Below are 24,332 nucleotides of genomic sequence, written 5' to 3' on the forward strand. Positions count from 1 at the left end.
ATTCGTTAGCTATGTCTCACATATTATAAGTTGTATTTTTATTCAGGCCTATGTTTAATTTTTTTTTTCCCTTTGAGACTTATTCCTTGACTTAGGCATTATTTAGAGCTGTTTTGTTTAGTCCCAAATGTTTGGAGATTCTCCTGTTGTCTGTTATTTTTAGTTTGGTTCCATTGTGGCCAGAGAATATACTCTGTATGATTTCATCTTGCAAATTTGGTTAGGTTTGTTTTATGGCCCAGTATGTAGTCATTCTTTGTGAATGTTCTGTGGATACTTAAAGAAAAAATGTATTCTGCTATTGTTGGATGGAATTATTTGACAAGGATTTTAAAGCAGTCACCATAAAAATGCTTCAGGAAGCATTTAGTTAAATGTTTGAAAAAAAAGTCTCAGCAAAGAAATAGTCTCAGCAAAAGCTAGAAGATATTTTCAAAGAACAGCAAATAGAAATTTTATAACTGAAAAATCCAATTACTGAAATAACTCCCTGGGTAGAATCAACTGCAGCACTTTTGAGTTGTAGGCTTCTCTAGCACCCAATTCATGCGGTCTCCACTGTTACTGGAAGATACATGAAACAGAAACAAAAATATAAAAATAAAAATACCACAGGAATTCACCTCTGTGTCTTTCTCTGTATCCTGAAGGTCCTAAATGCCTTTTCCCCTCCAACTTGCAGTGTCTTCTTGTTTGTTTTACATATAATGCCTAGGGGTCTTAGCTGTACTTAGTGGGAGAAATAGGGAGAAGTGTATCTGCTCCATCTTGTCAGGAACTGGATGCCCATACATTATTTTTCACTTGTTCATTGGTCAACTGGCCTACATCTCTTAGAATGTAGATTCTTTGTGAAAACTAGAAATTTTGCATGTTTTGTTTACCATTTTAACAACAATACCTACATTTCCTGGCACATAAGTATTTGTTGAATGAGTAAATCAGGTAATTCAGATTGGGTGGCTGCTGAAATGATAGGAATTCTTGTTATGTGGCTGATGGATTGTTAGTATAGACATACATCAGATAATGAGAGTGAACTTGTCTAGTTATGCTTTTCTAGAGTTAATAACAGGAAAGTAAGTTAAAGATATTAAATAATTATATTTTTTTTATTTTATTATTATTTTTTTGAGACAGAGTCTCACTCTTGTCATCCAGGCTGGAATGCAGTGGCTTGATCTTGGCTCACTGCAACTTACTCCTCCTGGGTTCAAGTGATTCTCCTGCCTCAGACTCCAAAGTAGCTGGGATTACAGGCACCCACCACCACACCCGACTAATTTTTGTATTTTTAGTAGAGACGGGGTTTCACCATGTTGGCCACGCTGGTCTTGAACTCCTGACCTCAGGTGATCCGCCTGCCTTGGCCTCCCAAAGTGCTGGGATTACAGGCATGAACCACTGAGCCCAGCCTTAAGTAATTATATTTTAACAGGCACAATATTTCAAAAACAGGGTGGTGGAAGACAGCATCAGTCCTGTGGTAAAATGGTTGGGAACTCTTCTACCATTTCTGAAAACTGTTTATATCTTAAATGACTAACTTGTACAGAATTATCATGAGAAAAAATTAAAATCAGTATATTTGAGGACATAGAGATATTATGTAGATTATCTTACTAGTATAATATTGAACTGGAAACAAAAACAGATTAGAATATCTAAATAAAATTAGACTAAGTAGCTATTATGAATCTTCAGTGTTACCTTCATTAAAGTAGGAGTTCAATAATGATTCCAATTACAAAATAAGTTGACCAAATAACTCGATTGAATAAGATATATACCTTAGATTAAGGGTGAATGCAAAACCTTCTAAGAATAGATAAATTCAGAGCCCATGACAAAAGAAAATAAAAGGACCAACGCAGGAAATACAAGCAATAAACTGTAAATATTTCACACTTCTGTAGTGCAAATACCTGGCAGGAGACCTGGTGCTTAGCTGATAAAATTATTGCAAAAGCAGGCCGGGTGTGGTGGCTCACGCCTGTAATCCCAGCACTTTGGGAGGCTGAGGCGGGCAGATCATGGTCAAGAGATCGAGACCATCCTGGCCAACATAGTGAAACCCCGTTTCTACTAAAAATACAAAAATTAACTGGGCGTGCTGGCGCATGCCTGCAGTCCCAGTTACTTGGGAGGCTGAGGCAGGAGAATTGCTTGAACCCGGGAGGCAGAGGTTGCAGTGAGCCAAGGTTATGCCACTGCACTCCAGCCTGGCAACAGAGTGAGACTGCGTCTCAAAAAAAAAAAAAAAATTATTTATACATCCAACAATATCGATGAATGTTGAAATCATTATGCTGAATAAAACAAGCAAGACCCCCCCGGAAACAGAACATTCTGTATGAGTCCATTTACATAAAATTCCAGAAAATGCAAACTAAATTAGCAAGAGAAGGCAGAACAGAGGTTGCCTGGAGAGGGGGGAAGAGTGCAGGTAAGGGTGGGAGGAATTATCATGGGACATGAGGAAGCTTTTTTGGGTGACATATTGATAGTAGTGACTGTTTCACAGGTGTATACATGTTAGAACTTATCAAGCTGTACACTTATACAGTTCACTACATATCAATTTCCTTCCATAAAGCTGTTTAAAAAGTCATAAGGAAGCCAGATATGGTAGCTCATGCCTGTAATCGCAGCACTTTGGAAGGCTGAGGCAGGAGAATTGCTTGAGGCCAGGAGTTTAGGACCAGCATGAACAACAAAGAGAGACTCTGTTTCTACAAAAACAAACAAAAAAATTAGCTGGGTGTGGTGGTGTGTGCCTGTAGTCCCAGCTACTTGGGAGACTGAGGTGAAGGATTCCTTGAGCCCAGGAGTTCAAGGCTGCAGTGTGCTATGATTGCACCACTGCACCCCAGCCTGGGTAAAAGAACAAGACCCTGTCTCTAAAAAAATAAAATAAATAAAATTTGTTTTAAAAATCATTAGGTTACATTGCATATTCTAGGCAAATAAATTTGAAAGCCTTGATGAAATGGATAATTTCCAAGGCAAATAAAGATTACCAAAATGGAACCCATTATAAATAGAAAGCCTGAATAGATAACTTTCATAGAATAGAGGAAGTTACCAAGAAATTATCCCACAAAAAAGCATATGACCCAGAAGGTTTCACATCAGAATCTATCCTTCAAAGATTAACTAGTTCTGATGCTTCATAAATTGTTCTAGAGCATTAAAAATGAACACAGACTTAAATTATTTTTATGATGCAAGTAAAAGAGTGAAATCTAAACCTGAAAAATATAGTATAAAAATTATGGACCAATTTCACATGAATATTGAAGGAAATGTACTAAGCAAAATATTAACAAGTAAACCCATTAATATATTAAGAAAATAACACATCATGGCTAAGTGAGGTTTATTCTAGGAATGCAAGGTTGGTTCAATATTAAGAAATCATTTTATATAATAGTAATAGAGTTAAAAAAAACTGTGTGATTTGCAGATACTGGAAAAGCTTTTTACAGAACACAGTCCATCTTTGAAAATAATGAATTTATTAATAATACCTATGCAAAAAATTTAGGGATGTACAGCAGAGGGACACCTAGAATTCTGAGATAATCACTAAAAAGTTTTTAAATACATGGTTCCTGTATTTAGTGCCCTACTATAAAATATATAAGCCTTACTCTCCTATCATGGGTAGAGATTGGGCTACATTATCAACTTGTTGACAGCTTCTAAAGATTCTTTCCTACAGGTTTTAGAACTGAAAAGAATAAGCAAGTTACTTATTAGTCTTCACAATGTTTATTATGTGTTATCTATAAGAAAAAATATCAGTCATTATCTGTCAATAGGCTATACATGAAGTATATTTTTCTATCTTAAAAAAACAGCCGGGCATGGTGGCTCATGCCTGTAATCCCTGAACTTTGGGAGGCCAAGGTGGGCAGATCACAAGGTCAGGAGTTCGAGACCAGCCTGGCCAACATGGTGAAACCCCGTCTCTACTAAAAATACAAAAATTAGCTGGGAATGGTGGCAAGTGCCTGTAATCCCAGCTACTCGGGAGACTGAGACAGGAGAATCACTTGAACCTGGGAGGCGGAGGTTGCAGTGAGCCGAGATCGTGCCATTGCACTCCAGCCTGGGCGACAGGAGCAAGACTCCATCTCAAAAAAATAAAGAAAATAAAGAAGCCAAGCTAGAAAAATATACTCTCTGAAGGGACACCTACACGGTCTTGTGTTGGAGAATATAAAGGTAGTCTCAAATTTACAGAAATTCCCAGCAATTTAATAATATAGTTCCTTTCACTGCATTTACTGAAACATGATATATGTGATTTTTATGTCCTAGGGTACCAATACAAGCCTACTCAGACCAAAAAGAAAATAATATATATATATTTACAACAAACAGTAGACGATAATACTATTGTGTATACTTGCTGAATGAATTAAAGATATGAGATGAGACTAGAGCAGGCATGAAGAAAAAATACCTGTCTCCCAAAACAGAGATAATCATCCAGGAGACAGATCACAAATCCAGAGATGCAACTTATTTCAAAAGTCCTGGTTGCTTACACATATAGACCCCTCTGGAAGGGAAAAATAACTTCTAACATTTCCTTTTCTTGATCTAAGAAACTAATTTAATGTTTTTACTGGCTAAAATGAGCAATTTAGACTACCCATTCCCCATACAACTTGCCCACTTACATTAATTATATTAACTTTTCAATACTGTGGAGGCTCCCTTGTTGAGGTCTGATCTCTGTCTATACAAGTTTCCACAATCCTCTCATTTATAAGAGCCTCTCTAATATGAATTCACTCACTGATTTTTCCCAAGTTCCAACCTCTGAAGACTTTTCCGTACTCATCACACTGGCAGGGTTTCCCTTTACTGTGAATTCTCCAATGCTGAAGCAAGCATCTCCACATTCATCATGTTTATTGTGCAGATTCTCTGGTGCACAGTCAGTCCTGGCTTCTGGGTGAAGGTCTTCCTACATTCTTTATACGAGTTTGTATAAGGTTTCTTTGCTGAACAAAGGCCTCCTCAGTTATTACATTTATGCAGTCTCTCTCTCATGTGGATTCTTTGAAGTCAAATAAGGCCATGTGGCTGAAAACTTTCCCACATTCCTTATGGTGACAGCATTTTTCCTTGTGGTGGTTCTTCTAGGGGGAAAAGAGGGTTCCACTATAAACAAAAGCCTTTCAAAAACTTGTTGATTGCACAGATTGAAAAGAGATTCTCTTCATCGTGGACTCCATGATGCTGAGTAATGACTCACCATAAACTAAAGCTTTTACTACACTTACTGCATTGATGTTGCAGTTCTACAGACATTCCCCCCAACAAAATTCAGCATCTCCAGATTTTGTTTTGTTTTGTTTTGGAGCCAAGTCCTTAGTTTCCTTCTCAGTAACACCATCTAAAACAAAATGCACAGACAATTCAAATGTCAGTTGTCTCTTCTGAAATGAGATTTATGATAGGGTACAGTGATTAAAAATAAAATCCACTTTTACCTAAAGTGCATGCCTTTTCTAAGTCTCTAAACAAGCATCTCATTTTTGTGAAGGCACGTGGCAGGGTAGGAGTAGGGGGGTCCAATTTGGGTGAGAAGAGACAGCTAGGCAGAAAGAGACTGGAAGTGCATGGAAGACTTTTCACAAAAATGTGACAATAAAAGAAATCAGGAAAGTATAATCAAAAAAGAGAAGATCAGTTTGAATCCAAAGCTGAGAAACAAGGAATATCATGAAACCAAGAGAAAGTTTAATTTGTTAAGGACAGTTAAAAGGACTATTTCTACTCACTTTAAGTATCTTGGCTACTACTATAAACCTACAGAATGTTCAATAAATATTTGTTGAGTGGATCAGTAAACAACGGGATATGATCAAAGTTAACTTGAAACAATAGCTAAACCAGTTTCAAAATACACACTAATCTGATGTGGGGAAATCAATAAACTGGAAAATTAACAGTGGGGAAATAAATTTTCTAGGTAATATTCATGTCTAAAATGTAAGAAAGCAACACTCTGAAGCTAAAGGAGTTAAGTGGGTCAAAAAAAACAAAACCCCAATCCCCTACAAATATGGCTGAGATTTCCTACTTAACGAATCAGGTAGATAATGAGAAGGAGATGAGTAGAGACAAGTTTTCTGGGGAGAGGATGCTACTAAAAGTTCTAAAAGCTTCCCGTGAGGCTCTCCTCTTCTTTCTCTCCAGAGATGCTCTCTCATCAGCTTTCCATATCAAAAGGCAATAACACTGAGAGGTAAACTAAGGTAGGATCTTAGGTTTGATCTGAAACCTTTCATTCCAAGGTACTATCTTTGCCAAAAGCATATCTTGTTATATCATTTAGCCTGAGACCTAAAGGCAATGTGATAAAATTGGTCTTGGGAAATGGAATTTGAAGCTAAATCCTAAGTTAAAACACCCAACAAACAAAAAACCCAATATAGAAAGAGGAGGTCCCAGAGATGCACCTAAATAACAGGAGAATTAAAACCTACTATTTATGGGAAATGTTGGGTTATGGCTCCAGAGACATCTGGTGGATCCTAAAGTTCAGGTTTGCTGCTTTCTATCCTATTCCCAAAGCCTTTTGCTAGTCAAGCTATAAGTGATCCTCCCAAGCTTTCCCATCGGTGGTTTGTCCTTCATTCAAACTCTCTCTTCAACTTTTCCAGCATCATCGATTGCCTCGTCTCCACATTCTGGATGATATTATCTTACCTATATCTGCAGCTTCACAAGTAGGGGCCAGGGCCTGTTCCAGCACCTGCTTCATAATATGTATTTCTGGTCTCAGGAACTACTGGCAAAGCTTCCTAAGTCTTCTGACAGCTCTGTGAAGTCCAAGTGGCTTTTTCCAATGCTGGCAAACCTTCCCAAGTCTTCTGACAGCTCTGTAAAGTCCAGGTAGCTATCTCCAGAGAGTAGCAATTTAAAGTTTGAGGAAAGACCTGTGATTTCTTTGCCAGCCTGATTCTTTGTTCTAGGCACAGCCTTCTTCCTTTACCATCAGTCACTATTAGAGATCTCTCCTGAAACAAGATTGCCATTCTGGAATGAGAGAGCTCAGGAGAAGATTCACTCCAGCTTGGGGTTCAGAGTGATTTTTCAGAAGTATTTCCTTGTAGCTGGTCTTCTTCCTGAGGCATAAAATAACAATGTTAACAGAAGCTAAATTTTGTTTACTTCTTTAGCCAAGAACTCACTTATCTGAACAAGGCACTGAAAGAAAACGGAACTCTGTCAGGAAGGTAAATAAATTAGGAAAGCAAAAGTGACTGCAAATTATTAGCTAGCCCCATCTGCTAGCCTTTTACTCTCTAAAAGTTTTTATTAATAAAACTTTAAAGATCATGACCCTCTTCCCTTGGCTCCCCCCCACTTCAAAATACCCATATAAACGGCAGAGATAAGAACATCAGAAATGAAAAATAACAACGGCTAATATTTATTTAAAATGCACCATACATGCAATATCCTGTATAAACGGCAGAGATAAGAACATCAGAAATGAAAAATAACAACAGCTAATATTTATTTAAAATGCACCATGCATGCAGCCATTTAAGTAGACACTTATAATCTCACTGACAGAGGAATAAAACTGAGGCACAGAGAGATTAAGTAATTTGCTCAAAGTCACACAACAGCTAGGTGGATTCTGTCTTTTCTTGTACTCAGCGTCGATCTTGGGAAAATCATGAATCACATAATTTCCCCAAATGAACCCAACTTTCCTTTCACCAAACGGGGAACCCAGACTCCTTTTTCTCAACAGCCAGTTTTCCTGATACCTCAAAACTTGGAAGTCATCCTTAACTTCCCCTGGCAGCTCTCAACCTATCAGGCCCAACCTCACCAGAGACACTGAAAGGCCGGAGCGCACGAATCTGAAACCACCCGCCTCCAAAGGTCCGTCACAAAGGCCAGAAAGGTCGGTACTTTCACGTGCCGCTGCCGTCAACGGCTGTCTCAGCATTCAGCTTCTCTAGGATTCTGGAGGCTTTCTCCTCTCTGTGGTTGCCCGGCCGAACCCCGCCCCAGCTGAGCAGCGCAAGTTCCAGCTGAGCAGTCAGGTAACCCCAGGGGCCCATGCTCCCAGGCCGGGGCGCGTCAGACCCGTGCGAGGCCGGCCTTCCAGCTGCAGAACGTCGGAAGAGCAGCTCGGAAGGCAAACTTCGGATAGCAGGGGCCGCTAGGTACCTCTGATAACTAACAGGGGCGGAGACAAAAGGGAAGAAATCTCTCCTTTCCAGCTTGGGCGATAAGTGTCCCCTGCTGGCCACTGCTCATCAGTTCTCCAGCAGGAAAGTAAAAGTATACCTGGGTGGGAGCTTTTATCTCAGGGCTAGGAGGACTGTGCAGCAGTCTGGGAAACATGCAGCTTGGTTAAAGGTAAATTTTGACCTGGGTCACTGGCATCTAGAGACAATGCATTTGAGAGAGCCCACAACAACAATCAAAATAGCAGTTGTAAAGCACTAATGTGCCAAGCACTATTCTAACACTTCGTAAACTCATTTAATCTACATTGGGTTGGTACTATTATCCTTGTCATTTTACATAGGAGGAAACTGAGGGACGAGAGGTTAAATCCCTTGCCCAAAGTCACTTAGCTAGTAAACTGAGATTCGAACCATGGCAATCCGTCTCTAGAATCCAGGTTCTTAAACCCTATCTCAGGAATAAGTAGGGAATTTGGCCAGAGGAAGCTGCAGAGTCCCTAAACTGCCTCAATCTTTATCAGGGATGAAATGAGGAGACATCTACTCCTAAATTCGTTACTGAAGTAGGCAGAACTAAGGCACTAGATCAAAACACTAAGATATGCCCACTAAGCTTGAAGAGGAGTAATGATGATGTAATCATAAATCAAAAGTAACAAATGGCTTCCACTATGGAGCCCTTCTTGGGACTTCCAGGAGCAGGCCAACTGGGCTTAGGAAAATGACTGGCAGGAGCAAACAGACATATACCCTAGAGATTAACTTGAACTATGATAGGTGAAAGCTCTGGGAGCCTTGACTGATGGGTTTCTGACACCTAAATGGTGTTTTTAACGTGTATGAAGAGAATCAACTGTCTCTTCAAGAGATGAAATCAAGGGAAAACTGCTGGCTCTAAATGATGGTCTTACAATGTAAGCTAGGGGGCTAATCAACTGAAAAGTTTAAAACACTTATCATAGTTGGCTTTGTCAACATCAAATTATATACATGAGGTCATATATATGTAAAATACAAATTACAACACAAAAATATTCATACATACTTTTTACACATTTATATATATATGTAGAAATACTATACAAGTAAAAAATAATGTGTGAGGACTCCTTACCAAACGCACACAGAACGTTTGAGAGGGAGAGGATCCAAAGAAATTCCAATAAAATGAGCTGCTGTAGTGACTGTGGTATATAACTTTTCGGTTTAAAGGATAAAAGTTGGGAAGAGATTCAATTAAAGGCTATCGAATGATTATGTCTAGGTTGAACAACAAGCATTTGCTCAAATTCTGGCCTTGTGGAGTTAGGAGGGTCACCATTTGAACTGTAAAATTGGTAAGTCTTAAGCAAAGAAAAATATCATATATCACATATATGTGTGTGTGTGCATTTTTAAATCCAAGAAGTATCTTCTAATATAAAATCACTTTTGAAAACTGGCATTAAAGATAGATCCATAATGGGTTATCAACACTTGGGGACAAATCTTTAAATCTTTCTGTATTAAATTAGACAGCCAAATATTCCTTATTCTGTGAGAATAATGCAGAGTGATTTATCATTCTAAGAAGGGTGATCTTTTCATATAAAGAGCCCATTTTTAAAGTGGAATGTCTCCTGTGACACCCTCACTGTGCAGGCAACAAGAAGTAGAGCTGTTTATGCTGGCCAAACCTCATCCAAGATTTGGTATGCAGAGGGGGTGATAATATTATTACCTGAGGTGTTTGGACTCCAGGACTTTCTGAATCATTTTTCAGAATAATGACTGGAGATAAAAAGTTTTTACAGATAATTACTCAAGACACTGAATTACCACTGCAACACATGGTTTGTTCAACTGAAATAAAGAGAGGAAGTGTATCACAGAGGTTAAAAGTGTGAACTCTGGAACTGGGCTGCTTGGGTTCAAATCTTGGCCTGACCACATACTAACTTCGGGACCTTGAGCAGCTTTAGATTATCTATTTCAGTTTCCCCAGCTGAAAGTGAAATGTTGTAAGTAAAGCATTTAGTAATGTCTGGCCCTTAGTAAGCAGCTAATAAGTGTGCGGTATTGTCATTAATAAATCCTTTTCTCAATTCCAAAAGATGGCCAATAAGAACAGCTTTGTTTTGACTATAACAACTCTACAAATAATCTGTATATTAACAAAAGTGGCTACTTCTGTACTGAATACAGGAATGCAGACTTGTCTAAGTTCTTCTATCTTAGAGGTCTCTACAACCAACCTCATTATACAGTTGAGATGTCTCAATTTGGAGCCCTGCTCAATCCCACTGTCTTTCCTCATTAGCTTCATCTCGTACCTCAAACTCTGGCAACCTCTTAATACAATTTATTTTTGGAAGGAGGGCCCCATTCTTTTTTCCTCTGCAGTCACTTCCCACTGCACTCTCTGGAATCAGTTTGATTGTCAGGTTACGTTTTCATTCATAGCCCGTGTTGAAACTCACCTCACTTTTCATTACTTTAGAAACTTGGCTCTTCCCCAACCTCTCCATGCTTTTTGCCTTAAACACTTAATGTCTTGTTTACCTTGAATCAATTAGAAAAGACAAGCCAGTCAATCTTATTCTTATTCTTAATATTATTTGCAAGCTTTATGATTCATTCAAGTTTTACAACAGATACTTCTATCTGGCCATTGTTACTACAATTGATGACCGTTATTTCTACCTTGGACCTGCTTCGCTTTTATATTCTTCGTTTCCATCCCACCCCGTTATTGTTATTTCAAAATCCACATACATAAAATGCTTCAGAGGTTTCTGGTTTCCTAGGATCTTGTCACTGTCACACCACATCTATATGTTATCCACAAAATGTACTCCTGACTTCATCACAAAGCATTCTCTCTTCACTGCATTCCCTAATGTAGCACTCCTATTCCATATCTAACATGTCACATCCTCCATTTGCCCCTCAGGGCCTTCAATTTGCCTATATTGCCAATTTAGCTCCAATTAGTAGCCTTATTCTACTATATTTCCTCTTTATCCTGGAAAGCTAGTTTAATCCTCTTTGATGCCTACCTGGAAATTCCATGTCACTCCACCTTTTTTTGGTACTACAACTGTATTTAAGCATGAGAAATAACCAGAACAAAACCCCCACGTGTATTTTTATTTTTATTTTAATTTTTGTTGAGATGGAGTCTTGCTCTGTCACCAGGCGGGAGAGCAGTGGTGCCATCTCAGCTCACTGCAACCTCCACCTCCCGGATTCAAGCGATTCTCCTGCCTCAGCCTCTCGAGTAGCTGGGATTACAGGCATGTGCCACCACGCCTGGTTAATTTTTGTATTTTTAGTGGAGATGGGGTTTCACCACATTGTCAAGATGGTCTCAACCTCCTGACCTCGTGATCCGCCCACCTCGGCCTCCCAAAGTGCTGGGATTATAAGTGTGAGCCACTGCACCCAGCCTCCACATTTATTTTTAAACAAGTATGAACTGTACCCTCCTATAATAGGCATATTCCATTGTTCTGAGTCTTTGTTTATGGTCCCTTTATAATATTAGGTATATAAGAAAGATTAAGTAGTGTGCAGAAAGGCAAATGGAGGAATGTGCGCAATGACAGAACATATTAAGCAGAAAATGAACTGGAAAGACCCCAAGTAAAGGCACTCAGAGGAGTAGAAGGCAAGTTTAAAACAACGATTGCATTCCAGCGAGCAGTCAGATTAAAAGAGAGGCTCTGAAGTTACTATGAACAGTAATTTCAGTTTGGATAACAAGTCTATAAAATCAGATTAGATAAGGAGTATGCATAGCATGTTTGGTAAGGAGAACATTCTCACACAGGTTCTCATCACTAAGTAAAGTCCCCTCCACTGAGAAGAGTTTCTAACAGTGAAACAGCAAAAGAACTACCATAACTAACTCCATTTTTGTTTAAGGACCCTTTACCTATTCCTCCATGTAGGCTAATTTTAGAGCAGAGATAATATGCAAAAACAGCAATCATGTAGTTTTAAAAACTAACTCTGGGATTAAAGAAGTATGTATAACAATTATGTTTTGTTGAAGATTTGCAGGAGCATTGTGACCCAACCAATGACAAAGAAGTTCCCAACCTCCTTGGACTCTTGCTGGCGCCCAGATGTCTGTGGTCATAGGTCACCTCTTCATCCCAACTCTGTCCTCTTCCCTTTGCCCTTAACATAAAAAGAGCCGAGCCCAACATTTGTACTGACTTAAGATGGTACTTTAGGACAGTAGTCTACCATCGTCTCAGTTTGCTGGCTCTCCGAATAAATCTGCTTTTCCTCGCACCAATTTTCTTCTCTCCCGAGTTTTGGCTTTGGAGCCGCAAGCAGCTGAACCTTGGTTTGGTTACAAGTTTGCATTCTCATTATGTGAGAAATGGGAGGCAGGGTAAACTTAGGTAGAGCACAGGCCTCACATACTTAGAGCTACAGAGCTCCCAGACTCACTCTGGGTTCCTTGTTTCCTGGAGGAAAAAAACTAGGTTTCCAATCCCAGTTGCCTCAGTGCCTCATGTGTGCAACTCCAATGCTGGGGTTATGAAAAAAGCCTAACTAAGCAGTCCTCAACTTATGAGTAAGTTGTTTTTCAACTGTTCATTTGCCTTTCTCTCTTGTGAACTCAAGAAGGTTTTTCCACACAGAAAGTCATGTAAGTTCCAATCCCAGAAGCCAATTTGACACCTAATATACCTGAATTATAATACTTATACCATTATGACTTCTATGGGAATATGTGTTCATATTTACAACTTAGCTAGAAACATAATATTCCTATAGGACCAGAGACGCTTCTAGTTCCAACCCAGGGATGAAATTCTATACAGGGTTTATGGCTAGAGAGGCAAGAGACAGGGGCACTAAGAAAATGGGGCTGGGGAGTATATTACAGGAGTGAAGAGAAGATGGGACAAAGACACAGGGCTGTGTAGAAAGGTAATTAGGAGTGGGACTTACTAAGGAAGAATGCAGATTACCCTTCTTTTATTTTTCCCCTTCCCCTTTTGTCACTGTCTCACCACTTCAAACCCACTAACCAGCTAGAAGTGTGAAGAGAAGAGAGGACTGGAGTTGTGTTGGGGTGTAGTAGGAAGTTAGTCCCAGAAACTGTGGAGTTTGCTGTGGCAGGGTAGAAAAGGAAGGAAATAACAGGCCATCTCAGTAGAGATTAAGAATGATTTCTGTAAATAAAAAGACAGATCAGGAGCCATGTGTACTTCCATGTGGCTTATCTGTTGTCCACTAAAATAATCAAGACAGGTTCTCATCCAAAGCAGAATTTTTACTCAGCAAGGCAAGGTTAGAGTCAACCAGTTTTGGTTGATTCATTTTTCAGAAGCCCAAGGGATAGTATCTCTAATTTGGGGTCCTTTTATGTGCTCAAGAAGTAAACAAACCAACAAAATGTAAATCAGTTCTCAAGAGCCATTATTAGGGAATTCAGAACATAGTGCTAACATGAGATCTGAGAAATAAAAGAAGGTAAAGCATAAAACAGAGAAGAGCACCAGGCCCTCCCCTAAATAAACAAACAACACAAGGCCTTGCACTCAGAAGACCCTTGGAATGTAGGTCTGTCTCTCTTTCTTTGAATACTTAAATCTGAAGGGATGGAAAGACCACCTAAAAATCCTAGTTTTTTGGCATGATGGGGGTCTAATTCCTTGTTCACTCCAAAGAGCTGATGGCACATGTTCCCTGTAAGGATCTCCTTGTGCTAAAAGTCTGCAGTGGCCTTTAGTTTATAGGACTGTGTTCAGGCTTCCCCACTTCGCAGACAGCCATGAAGTCAGCTGTCATTCAACTCAACGCTTCTCAAATTTTAAAGTATATTAAGTAACTGTGGAGCTATAAAAATGAAGATTCTCAACTCCCATCCTAGGCCTAATGAAGCAGAATGTGAGTGGGATTCAGGGATGTTAAACAAGCTCCAAACATGATTTTGATGTTCATCAAAGTTGGAGGATCACTAGAGTAATGGCCAGGACTAGAAGTCAAAAGACCTGCACTTAGGTTACTGGTCTTTTTCTTTGTGTGGGATTATAGCTATGTTGCCATCTCCATAGGCAAGAGTATTCTCATTTTTAAAATGGAGAATGCTTTTGATTTACCAAGGTATTTTAGGAATTGAGAAAAGTGCTCTGTAAATGTCCAAGTGCTATAAAGTATTAGATGAAATTATTCACACTCTGGCCCTCTTATGTGTCTGTCCCCAAGCTGTTTCCAACTTAATGCTATTGATTGCCCAATTTGCACGAACCTTTTACTTCAGGTTGGCTAGTCTTTTCCCTGATGCTTCCAAACCACATGCACTCTTATGATGGCTTACATTTGTTTTACCCGCTTTCTCCCTTTTGACTGCTAAGTCTGCCCGTCAAATCCTTATTTTAAATAAAATCTTTCTTGACCACTCCAGGCAAAAGTAACCTGTCCTTTAGAATTTACAGCACTTATAGTCTGTTACAAAGTACCACTTTCATTCGACACCATCTGGTGCATCAATTCTACTCTCCTGTAGTCTTATATGACTAAATATGTGGATCTTATCTATCCCAAACTAGGCTACAAACTCTCTGAGAAAAGAGTTTGGGGTTATCTTCTTGTTCTCCACAGCACGTAGTACAATGGGCAGCACACAGTGAATTCTTATTAAATATCTGAGGTTTCCTTATAACAATGGTGACTGAAGTTTTGCCCCAATAATTGTAAAGCTAAATAGTATTTCTCACCGGCCTGAACTCTGTGAGATAACTTCCCTGTAGTCATCACACAGAAACAGATTTTTCTCCTTTGTGGATAGTCTGATGTTGAGTAAGAGCTGAGTTCTGCCTGAATGATTTCCCACACTCTTTACATACATAGGTACCACGTCTATTATGGATTCTCTGGTGTTTACTAAGATCTGACCTCTGTCTGAAGGCTTTTCCACACTCATCACATTGGTAGGGCTTCTCCCCAGTGTGGATTCTCTGATGCTGAATGAGGCTGGTGATTCCTCGGAAGGCATTCCCACACTCATCACACTTGTAGGGCCTCTCTCCAGTGTGGATTCTCTGATGTTCCGTGAGGACTGATCTTTGAGTAAACGCCTTCCCACACTTATCACATTTATAGGGTCTTTCTCCAGTGTGAATTCGCTGATGTTCTGTAAGACTTGTCCTTTGAATAAAGGCTTTTTCACATACGTCACATTTGTAGGGTTTTTCCCCAGTGTGAATTCTCTGATGCTGAATAAGGCCACTCTGACTGAAGGATTTCCCACATTCCTTACACTGATAGCATTTTTCTTTGTGGTGGATTTCCTGATGGGAAACAAGGGATGAGTTATAAACAAAGGCTTTTCCACACTCGTTGCACTCATACGGCTTGGCGCCGGTATGAACTCCTTGATGCTGAGTAAGTATGGAACGCCGACTAAAACTTTTATTACACTGAGTGCACTGATAAGGTTTGTCTCTTGTGTGGATCTTGATATGGTGAAAGAGGCCTGCTTTCTGACTAAAGGCTTTGCCACAGTCATTACAGTGATAGTGTTTTTCTCCTGTGTGAAGTCTCTGATGTTGGTTAAGAGCTGACCACCGGCCAAAGGCTTTGCCACATTCATTACACTTATACGGTTTCTCTCCAGTGTGTATTATTTTGTGTCGAATAAGCACAGTTCTCCCACGGAAAGCTTTTCCACATTCTTCGCATTTGTAGGGTCTATCTCCAGTATGGATCCTCTGATGTTCTATGAGGTGTGAGTGCTGACTAAAAGCTTTTCCACAGTCATCACATCCGTAAGATTCTTCTCCTGGACAGATTCTCTGATGTTCAGTATGGTCAGAGTTCTCAGTCAGGCTTACTCCATTTTCATCACAGGTAGGTTGTTTATCTTCTCTGGAGCAAGCAGAGGGCTCTTCTGTTATTTCTTCAGGTTCACGAGTTTCTCCACACCTAGCAGACTTGGACATATCATTTTCAAATTTACTGGATGTCTTCCCATGTGGTTCCATTTCTTCAGAAACTTCTTGCTTTAAATTCCCATACTCATTTCCAGTCTCAACATCTAAAACTAAGAAGGGATCATAAATGTTACCTCTTTCTACCTTTAAAATGTATCCATACATTTTAATATTAAGCAGCTGTTTAGAAATAAAAAATGCAAGAGTCTACCATCTTAGTGATAAAGAGAGCAAAATATATTTGTTTCAATATGGAAAACATATGCATCAAAAAAATATCTGGAAGGACACACGAAAAATTAGTAACAGTTACAACCTATTTCAGAGTAGGAGGAAGAGACTAGGTGGCTGGGAAAATCGAGTAGAATAGAAACTTTTCATTAAATAACTTAAAAAATTTTTGTTTTTGAGCCATGTACATTTTTACCTACTTAAAAAATTAAATGAAAATGAAAAGGATGCAGAGAAAGTAGAAATAAGGTAGCGGATCTTTCACACATTCACCAACTTTTAATATTTTGCAACATTTGTTTTATTATTTTTTCTTTTTCTTTTTTTTTTTTTTGAGACAGTCTTGCTCTGTTGCTCAGGCTGGAGTGCAGTGGGGTGATGTCAGCTCACTGCAACCTCCGCCTCCTAGGTTCAAGCGATTCTCCTGCCTCAGCCTCCTGAGTAGCTGGGATTACAGGCACGCGCCACCATGCCCAGCTAATTTTTGTATTTTTAGTAGACACGGGGTTTCACCATGTTGGTCAGGCTGGTCTCGAACTCCTGACCTCGTGATCCACCCACCTTGGCCTCCCAAAGTGTTGGGATTATAGGCGTGAGCCACCGCACCCAGCCTGTTACTCCTTTTCTTTGTAAGTATACAAATTTTTTTTTTCTTGAACCATCTGAAAGTTAGTTGCAGACATAATGGAGCAAAGGCTTATTTAGTGAAGCAGAAAGGATATAGTGCAAGTGGAAGATAGAGGTATTGTCTGATAGGATAAAGGCTAAAAATAGCAAGGAGGTCAGTATAAAGAGAGATAAATATCAGAAGGACTAAATTAAGTGGTAAAGCCAGAATTTAGAAGAATATGAATATACAAAAAAGTAAGGGTTGAAGAGTGACAAACTAGGCTGTCTGAGAGTCTATATATGAGCCATCAGATTCTGAGACGGCCTTTTTGACTTTAATGATCAGAAACAGTAGCAAGTACAAAAAAGCCCCAATGTCCTATGTTACCCATCTTCCCCTTCCTCCCAAGATGGGTCTTTCTTCTTTACCTTGCTCCTGTTGGGATTCAAGTTCTGGAGATTCATACTTTGGCTGGGCTTTCATGGACTGGAGGGACATACTGGGTTCTCCTTCTTTTCGTAGACGTACCGTCTCCTGCAAGAACATTTCCTGTTCCCCAGTGTGGACTGAGACCTGAGGAAAATGAGATGTAGCTGACAGACTCACTCTGATAACAGAAAACAAAAAGTATACTATTTGTGGCAGTGGCTGAACCCTGAAATGACCTTTTTCCCAGATATAAGCCTGCCATAACCCTACCCATTCTTCAAGGCCAATATAAATGTCGCCTCCTCTGGGGAATCTTCCCTTCTCCACCCAGATGTAATTTCTCCTGTTGTTACCGCTAAAGTATGTTGGTTGTGCCACTGTTACCTCTTTATCTTATGCTTAAAGAAGTGGAGAAAGGAAAGGGAGAAAGACAAAACAAAGGAGAGAAGAAAAAGGTGAAAAGAGGCAGAAAGGAGGAAATAAGATAGAACTTAGGGTAAAATAAAACATTAAGAGAGAAAGAGGAAAAGGAAAGGGGATATGTAAAGGTAAATAATGTAGAGAAATGATAAAAAAAAAAAAAAAAAGGCACCCTTGGGATGCCATGGTGGGAGGATTGCTTGAGGCCAGGAGTTTGAGACCAGCCTAGGCAATATAGCAAGACCCCATCTCTCCAAAAAAATTAAAAATGATCTGGGCATGGTGGTGCACATCTGTAGTCCTAACTACTCAGGGGACTAAGGCAGGAGGACTGCTTGAGCCCAGTTCAAGGTTATAGTGAACTATGATTACACTACTGAACTCCAGCCTGGGTGACAGAGACACTGTAGCTCCAAAAAAAAAAAAAAAAAAGGTTGAAGGGAACAAATGAGGAGAAAGAAAGGGAAAAGAAGGGAAGGAGAGAAATCTCTTCCATATTCATTCCCTAAGCTGTTCCCAATAGTCTCTGCTCTTCTGAGGTGCCCGTCCCACTTCTCTCTGGGAAGATTATCTTATTTTCTATTTATCCAAGATCACAATCATCTCAAAAATCATCTACTCTTCATTTTATCTATCTCCACCCTCATACTCCTCTCCATTTCTTCTATCTTAGGATGATGTCTTCTCTTTTTCAAGGCTTACGTCTCTACTTTTGCCTTCAATCCCATCACTTTTGGCTTCTCTCTGACCCTTGCTCCCTCAGTTAACTCATTTATTCAATTTCAGCCACTGGGTGGCTCCCATTCTTCCATGGGCTTATTTCCTCTTGCATTTAAAAATAACAGGTTTCTTCAGCAAGGTATTGTAAAAAGCAGGGATTTGGAATCACATGGATTACTTACTCTCTCTCTTAGTCTAGTAGCTCTGTGACCTTGGGCTAGTTACTTACTCTCTCTGAGATTATAAATAACATTTGTATAAACCACCTTGCACAGGGATTGGCATACAACAGGTTCTCAAATTACTCCCCCATTCTCTTCAAAGGTTAAATTTTATAACTAAGAAATCACCATATACTGCCTCTATTTCCCTGATACATTTTCATTTTGTAGCCTCAGTCTTCAGAATAAAAGCGAGAGTCAGCAAAATGCTATCTCAGATGTATAGAAAACGGTGTTTTGATATCTCATATTTTGAAAAAAGAAAGCCGGGGGAAAAGGCCAGTACTGCGAGCTGTGCCTTCTATTCTGGGATCTCTGGTCAGGCCTCAGAAATCAAGCTGTAAACTCCATTATATGCCCCTGCAGTGCTTTCAGAGAAAGAACTGGTTGGCAATACAAATTCAGCACATTTAAAACCAAATTACTTTTGTCTGCATCTAAGAATCCCATTCTTTGTACCTCCCTAGCTACTCTGTTTCTACTGCTCATTACTCCCTTCATGATCTCATCCTATCTCGTGGCTTTAAATACTATGCGTATTCTGAAAAGCCCCAATTCTGTAGTTCTAGCACAGACCCTTCCACTGAATTCCAGTTTATTATATCTAGTTGTTTGCTCAACTTTTCTGCTTGGATTCTAATAGGAATCTCAAAATTAACATGTCCAAACCCTGTTTTTTTTGTTTTTTTGAGGCAGAGTCTCACTCTGTCGTCCAGGCTGGAGTGCAGTGGCAAGATCTTGGTTCACTGCAACTTCCGACTCCTGGGTTCAAGCGATTCTCCTGCCTCAGCCTCCTGAGTAGCTGGGATTATAGGTGCCTGCCACCACACCCAGCTAATTTTTGTATTTTTAGTAGAGACAGGCTTTCATCATGTTGGCCAGGCTGGTCTTGAACTCCTGACCTCAGGTGATCTGCCCACATTGGCCTCCCAAAGTGCTAGGATTGCAGGCTTGAGCCACCGTGCCTGGCCCAAACCCTAAGTTTTGATTCCTGTCTTTCCACCCCAAACCCACTTCTCTCCCAGTCTTTACCATCTCTATGAATGACAAATCCACTCTATCTGATGTTCAGACCAAATACTTCGGCATAATCCTTAACTTACTTTCTCTCATATTCCACATTCTATATAAAAACAAACCCTGTCAAGCTCTAGCTCCAAAATATATCCAGAATCCAATCACATTTTACCACTCCCACTGCTACTATTCTAGTCCAAGTCACCAATATCTCTTGCCTGGATTATTGCTTATTATTATTGCTCCTAAAATGGTTTCGTTGCCTCTACCTTTTACTCCTATGGCTACCCCAGCCCCATTGTGGAACTTTCTCACAGTAGCCAGAGTGACTATTTTAAAATTCAAGTCAGATTATATCTCGCTTCTGTTCAAAATTCTCCAATGACTTTCCATCTCAGAATACAATTCGAAATTCTTATAATGGCCTACAAGTTCTGACATAATATAATCTTATAAGCATTTTATTTCATCTCCTCCTTGACAACCACATCTCCACCATGATAAGTACATTCTCACTTTAAGACCCTCTGCCTGAATGCTGTTATCCCTGATAGCTTATGGCTTGCTCTTTTCATTCAGATTTCTCCTGTAAATGTCACCTATCTGAAAAACCTTCTCTGACAAGTCTACAGAAAACAGCACAATCCCCACTTATTTCACTATTCCTTTTCTCTGCTTTTATTGTTGTTGTTGTTTGAACAGAATTTATTACCACCTACATCTTGTAGGTGTTTGTTGATTTTTTTTTTTTTTTTTGGAGATAGGGTCTCACTGTGTCGCCCAGGCTGGAGTGCAGTGGTATGATCGTGGTTCACTGCAGCCTCGATCTCCTGGGCTCAAGCAATCCTCCCACTTTAGCCTCTCAAGTAGCTAGGACTACACACACCTGCCTGGCTAATTTTTGTATTTTTTATAGAGATGGGGGTCTCACTATGTTGCCCAGGCTGGTTTGTTGATTTTTAATTTACTATCTGTCTCAGTGGACCAGAACCTACATGAGAGCAGCAACCCCTGTGTTTTGTTCGCTGTTGCATTCACAGTGCCTAAAACAGTACCTAGTCCAAACAGACATTCGGTAAATATGTGCTTAATTGTTTCCTGCAGTCTTTAACTTTGTTAGGAGTGTCTCCATTATACTAGTCTTTCAAGCTTAAAATCCCTAGTGTTTAGCTTAGAATACATTGCTCTGTAAAGAGTTCTCCATTGGTTCTTCCTTCTTTATTTAATAGAGCTAATCTGTCATCACTTCCAAACAGTTCTTACCTAAGACATGCCTCATCCTTGGTAATCACACTTTCACGATCCTATTTCTTTTTTCTGTTTGTTTGTTTGTTTTGTTTTTTAAACGGAGTCTCACTCTGTTGCCCAGGCTGGGGTACAGTGGCACAATCTCGGCTCACTGCAACCTCTGCCTCCTAGGTTCAAGTGATTCTCCTGCTTCAGCCTACCAAGTACCTGGGATTACAGGCATGTCCTGCCACACCCGGCTGACTTTTGTATTTTTAGTAGAGACGGGGTTTCACCATGTTGCCCAGGCTGGCGTTGAACTCCTGACCTCAGGTGATCCACCTCCCTTGGCCTCCCAAGCGCTAGGATTACAGGCATGAGTCACCGTGCCTGGCCTCATGATCCTATTTCAAACTTAGATATTTTTGCCACATGTTCCTACCCTCTCTATTGCATTTTGTATCACAGTGCTAGATTATACTTCTGTTTCATTATTTCCCTAAGTTTCAAACTCTTTATACCGGGGTTTCCCAGCATTGGCTCTACTGACATGTTCCTAGCATTGGCTCTACTGACTTTGTTGTCTGGGGCTGTCCTGTGTGTTTTAAGAGGTTTAGCATTAGCCTTGCCCTCTCTACCCACTAGATACTAGCAGCACCTCCCCGAGTGATCCACTAGATACTAGCAGCACCTCCCCAAGTTATAACAACCAAAAATGTCCCAAGACATTGCCAAATGCCCTCTGGTGCACAAAATTGGCACTGGTTGAGAACCACTGTCTCATTTTAGTATTAAAAACAAAACAAAAACGTTCTACATAATTTGGTTCTCTTTTACATCTTACAATTAGTAAAGCTCATTTAGACTCAAGGAGAAAAGGTTAGGGGCATCTGTCCTACAGAATAAAATCTCAATTCCAGAGGTTGAGATTCAAGGTCCTGGACACTATCTCAACTCTGCTATTTGGAATTCACCTTTCCAACCTAACTGGGCTTTCTGCTACTCAAAGAAACACAGATTCCCCACCCTGCTCTCCTCACTAACTTTCCATTGTACTCCCACATCTCATTCCCCTGAAATAGTTAATGTCTTCATTTTAAAACCCTGTAATGGAGTCAGAGCAATGGATATATCTGCAAAACCTTAATTCTTAATTATTTGTATTGTGCAACAGAGTGATGCCCCTCCAAGAGACTGCTTCCCATCCTGCTACTGTCATCTCTTTGATACTTTCTCTTGTCTTAGAAGTTTTCTAAGATGAGCAGCATGTTTATCAAACAGAATTTTGTAGCTTAATAGAGAAATATAAAATCCTTCCACAGAAAAGTTATAAATAAGTTGGGACCACATTAGCCAACTTTCCGTGAAACTCATGCCCCTTTCTGATGCACCAAACTGTCAAAAACATGCTTTGTGAAAAAATGGCTGTTCTTCACTCTGGCCTAGAAATCCACAATTTATGTTTTCTCAAGCAGAAGTCACATCTTTTTTCTCACCTGCTCTCCTGGTTCATCCAGTTCTCTCTCTAAATCCTCCAGCACAGTCACCACCTCCTCCCCACTCTCTGGATGCTGCTCCTGCACCCAGGCCTGGAGCTCCTCAGGTAGGATGGTCAGGAACTGCTCCAGCACCAGCAGCTCCAGAATCTGTTCTTTGGTGTGGGTCTCTGGCCTCAGCCACTGATGGCAAAGTTCTCGGAGTCGGCTCAAAGCCTCACGGGGACCAGATGTCTCCTGGTAGCAGAACTGTCTGAAGTACTGACGGAAGACCTCTCTGCTATGGGTGTTGTTTTTACGCAGGTCCCAATCCTGTCTGGTGGTATATTTCTCTTCCTCTATCTTTACTTCCAAAGGTTCATCCTGGTCCATGTGGGCCTGGATAGCCCAAGTAGATGCCATTTTAGCTGTGCTAGAACTACCGGTGTTTCAAGTAAGATCTCACCTGGAAACTGTATTCCTGGACAGTCCTGAAGAATAAGCCATCATTATTAATACAAACTCCACCATAAAGTAAAACTGCAAATTCTGAGAACTTAACTATGACCTTTGAAATCTGACCTCCGGATTAATGTACAATACTTACTCAGAAAAATACTCTGATAGAAAAGACTTAAGATTAGACCGATTTAGGCCGGGCACAGTGGCTCACGCCTGTAATCCCAGCACTTTGGGAGGCCGAGTCGGGCGGATCACGAGGTCAGGAGATCGAGACCATCCTGGCTAACATGGTGAAACCCCGTCTCTACTAAAAATACAAAAAAAAAAAAAAAAAAAAAATTAGCCGGGCGTGACGGCGGGCGCCTGTAGTCCCAGCTACTCAGGAGGCTGAGGCAGGGGAATGGCGTGAACCCGGGAGGCGGAGCTTGCAGTGAGCCGAGATCGCGCCACTGCACTCCAGCCTGGGCGACAGAGCGAGACTCCGTCTCAAAAAAAAAAAAAAAGATTAGACTAATTTAAAGAGAAAGACTGAGGAAAGGTGCCAAGTTGTTTCAGGACTTAAGAGTAAGACTTGTTGGTAAACTTATTCTCATTTGGTCCTAAATGAAAGACAAATGGAATAAAACTAACATTTAGATCAAGTAAATAATAATAACAAAAGGTTAGGACATCCTTGATTAGTTACTTTTATCTTTTGAATGTCCAGATGTCTGGTGGAAACCATGAAATCACAAAAGCTACAGTCATGTAAATTTATTTCTTCAGGGACTTAATCTTTCTGCTCCTCATTCTTCATTTATAAAGTGAGAAGGCTGAAGAGGTTACTCTTTAAGGCTTCCCTCTAACCTCGTGGTCTGTGATTATAATCTGAAGTGAGGAAGGCCCAGGAAAGGGTCCCTAGGACGCCGGCGAGCGTCTGTGACCCACCACTGTCCAGAAATGTCGGTAAGCGCTGAACCCAAGGATACACAGCCCGAAGCAAACGCGGAAGGTATGGGCCTTACAGCCTGGAATTGCTGCAGAGACTGGGAGCCAAACCCTCATCCTAATGTCCCAACGCACTTTGGGGAGGGAGAGCTTCCCGCGGATCCGCCTGGGTTTGGGAGGACCGGGGTCCACTCTGCACCGGCCAGGGCCTGAGGGGCCCAGCAGCTGGAATACAGCAATCTCCCGCCCACCTGCTCGCAGCGTACAGAGCACAACATCGCTCACCTGCGGCCCCCAGGGCCAGAAGAGAACTCCCTCCTACGGAGCGAAGGCAAGAGGCCTCGAACCCTTTTGGGACCCGGAACCCATCAAAAGTGACCCACAAAGGCCGGAAGCGGCCACGGGGGGTCTAAGAACCA

General features: G+C 40.5%; 1 protein-coding gene across 18 annotated transcripts, besides 2 other annotated features; it reads right to left on the minus strand.

Moving 5' to 3' along the window:
• Positions 1-3,362: 3,362 nt before the first annotated feature.
• ZSCAN12 (zinc finger and SCAN domain containing 12) lies at positions 3,363-24,289 on the minus strand. Of its 18 annotated transcripts, NR_136510.2 has the most exons (7): positions 24,199-24,289; positions 22,546-23,015; positions 17,444-17,622; positions 14,960-16,284; positions 10,697-10,778; positions 6,733-7,151; positions 3,363-5,413 (listed from the first exon to the last, which is right to left on the minus strand). NR_136510.2 is itself a non-coding variant. In XM_047419596.1 (6 exons), exons 2-5 carry the CDS (start codon positions 22,945-22,947, stop codon positions 7,031-7,033), a joined length of 1,815 nt encoding a protein of 604 aa, XP_047275552.1. In that variant the 5' UTR covers positions 22,948-23,015; positions 24,199-24,289; the 3' UTR covers positions 3,363-5,413; positions 6,510-7,030. The 18 variants fall into 18 exon arrangements, 8 of the variants coding, with proteins under 8 accessions (XP_047275552.1, XP_047275553.1, XP_047275555.1 ...); NR_028077.2 differs by lacking the exon at positions 10,697-10,778 and having other exon boundaries at positions 15,138-16,284; positions 17,444-17,588; NR_136509.2 differs by lacking the exon at positions 10,697-10,778 and having other exon boundaries at positions 17,444-17,588.
• Positions 8,113-8,212: an enhancer, noted in NCBI's record as "active region_24356". NCBI's record gives its function as "activates an Ori minimal core promoter by ATAC-STARR-seq in GM12878 lymphoblastoid cells {active_cell/tissue: GM12878}" and the evidence as "EXISTENCE:reporter gene assay evidence [ECO:0000049][PMID:35858748]".
• Positions 23,342-23,411: a silencer, noted in NCBI's record as "silent region_17045". NCBI's record gives its function as "represses an Ori minimal core promoter by ATAC-STARR-seq in GM12878 lymphoblastoid cells {active_cell/tissue: GM12878}" and the evidence as "EXISTENCE:reporter gene assay evidence [ECO:0000049][PMID:35858748]".

Source organism: Homo sapiens, chromosome 6, assembly GCF_000001405.40.
Source record: "Homo sapiens chromosome 6, GRCh38.p14 Primary Assembly".
NCBI classification, from domain to species: Eukaryota; Metazoa; Chordata; class Mammalia; order Primates; family Hominidae; genus Homo; species Homo sapiens.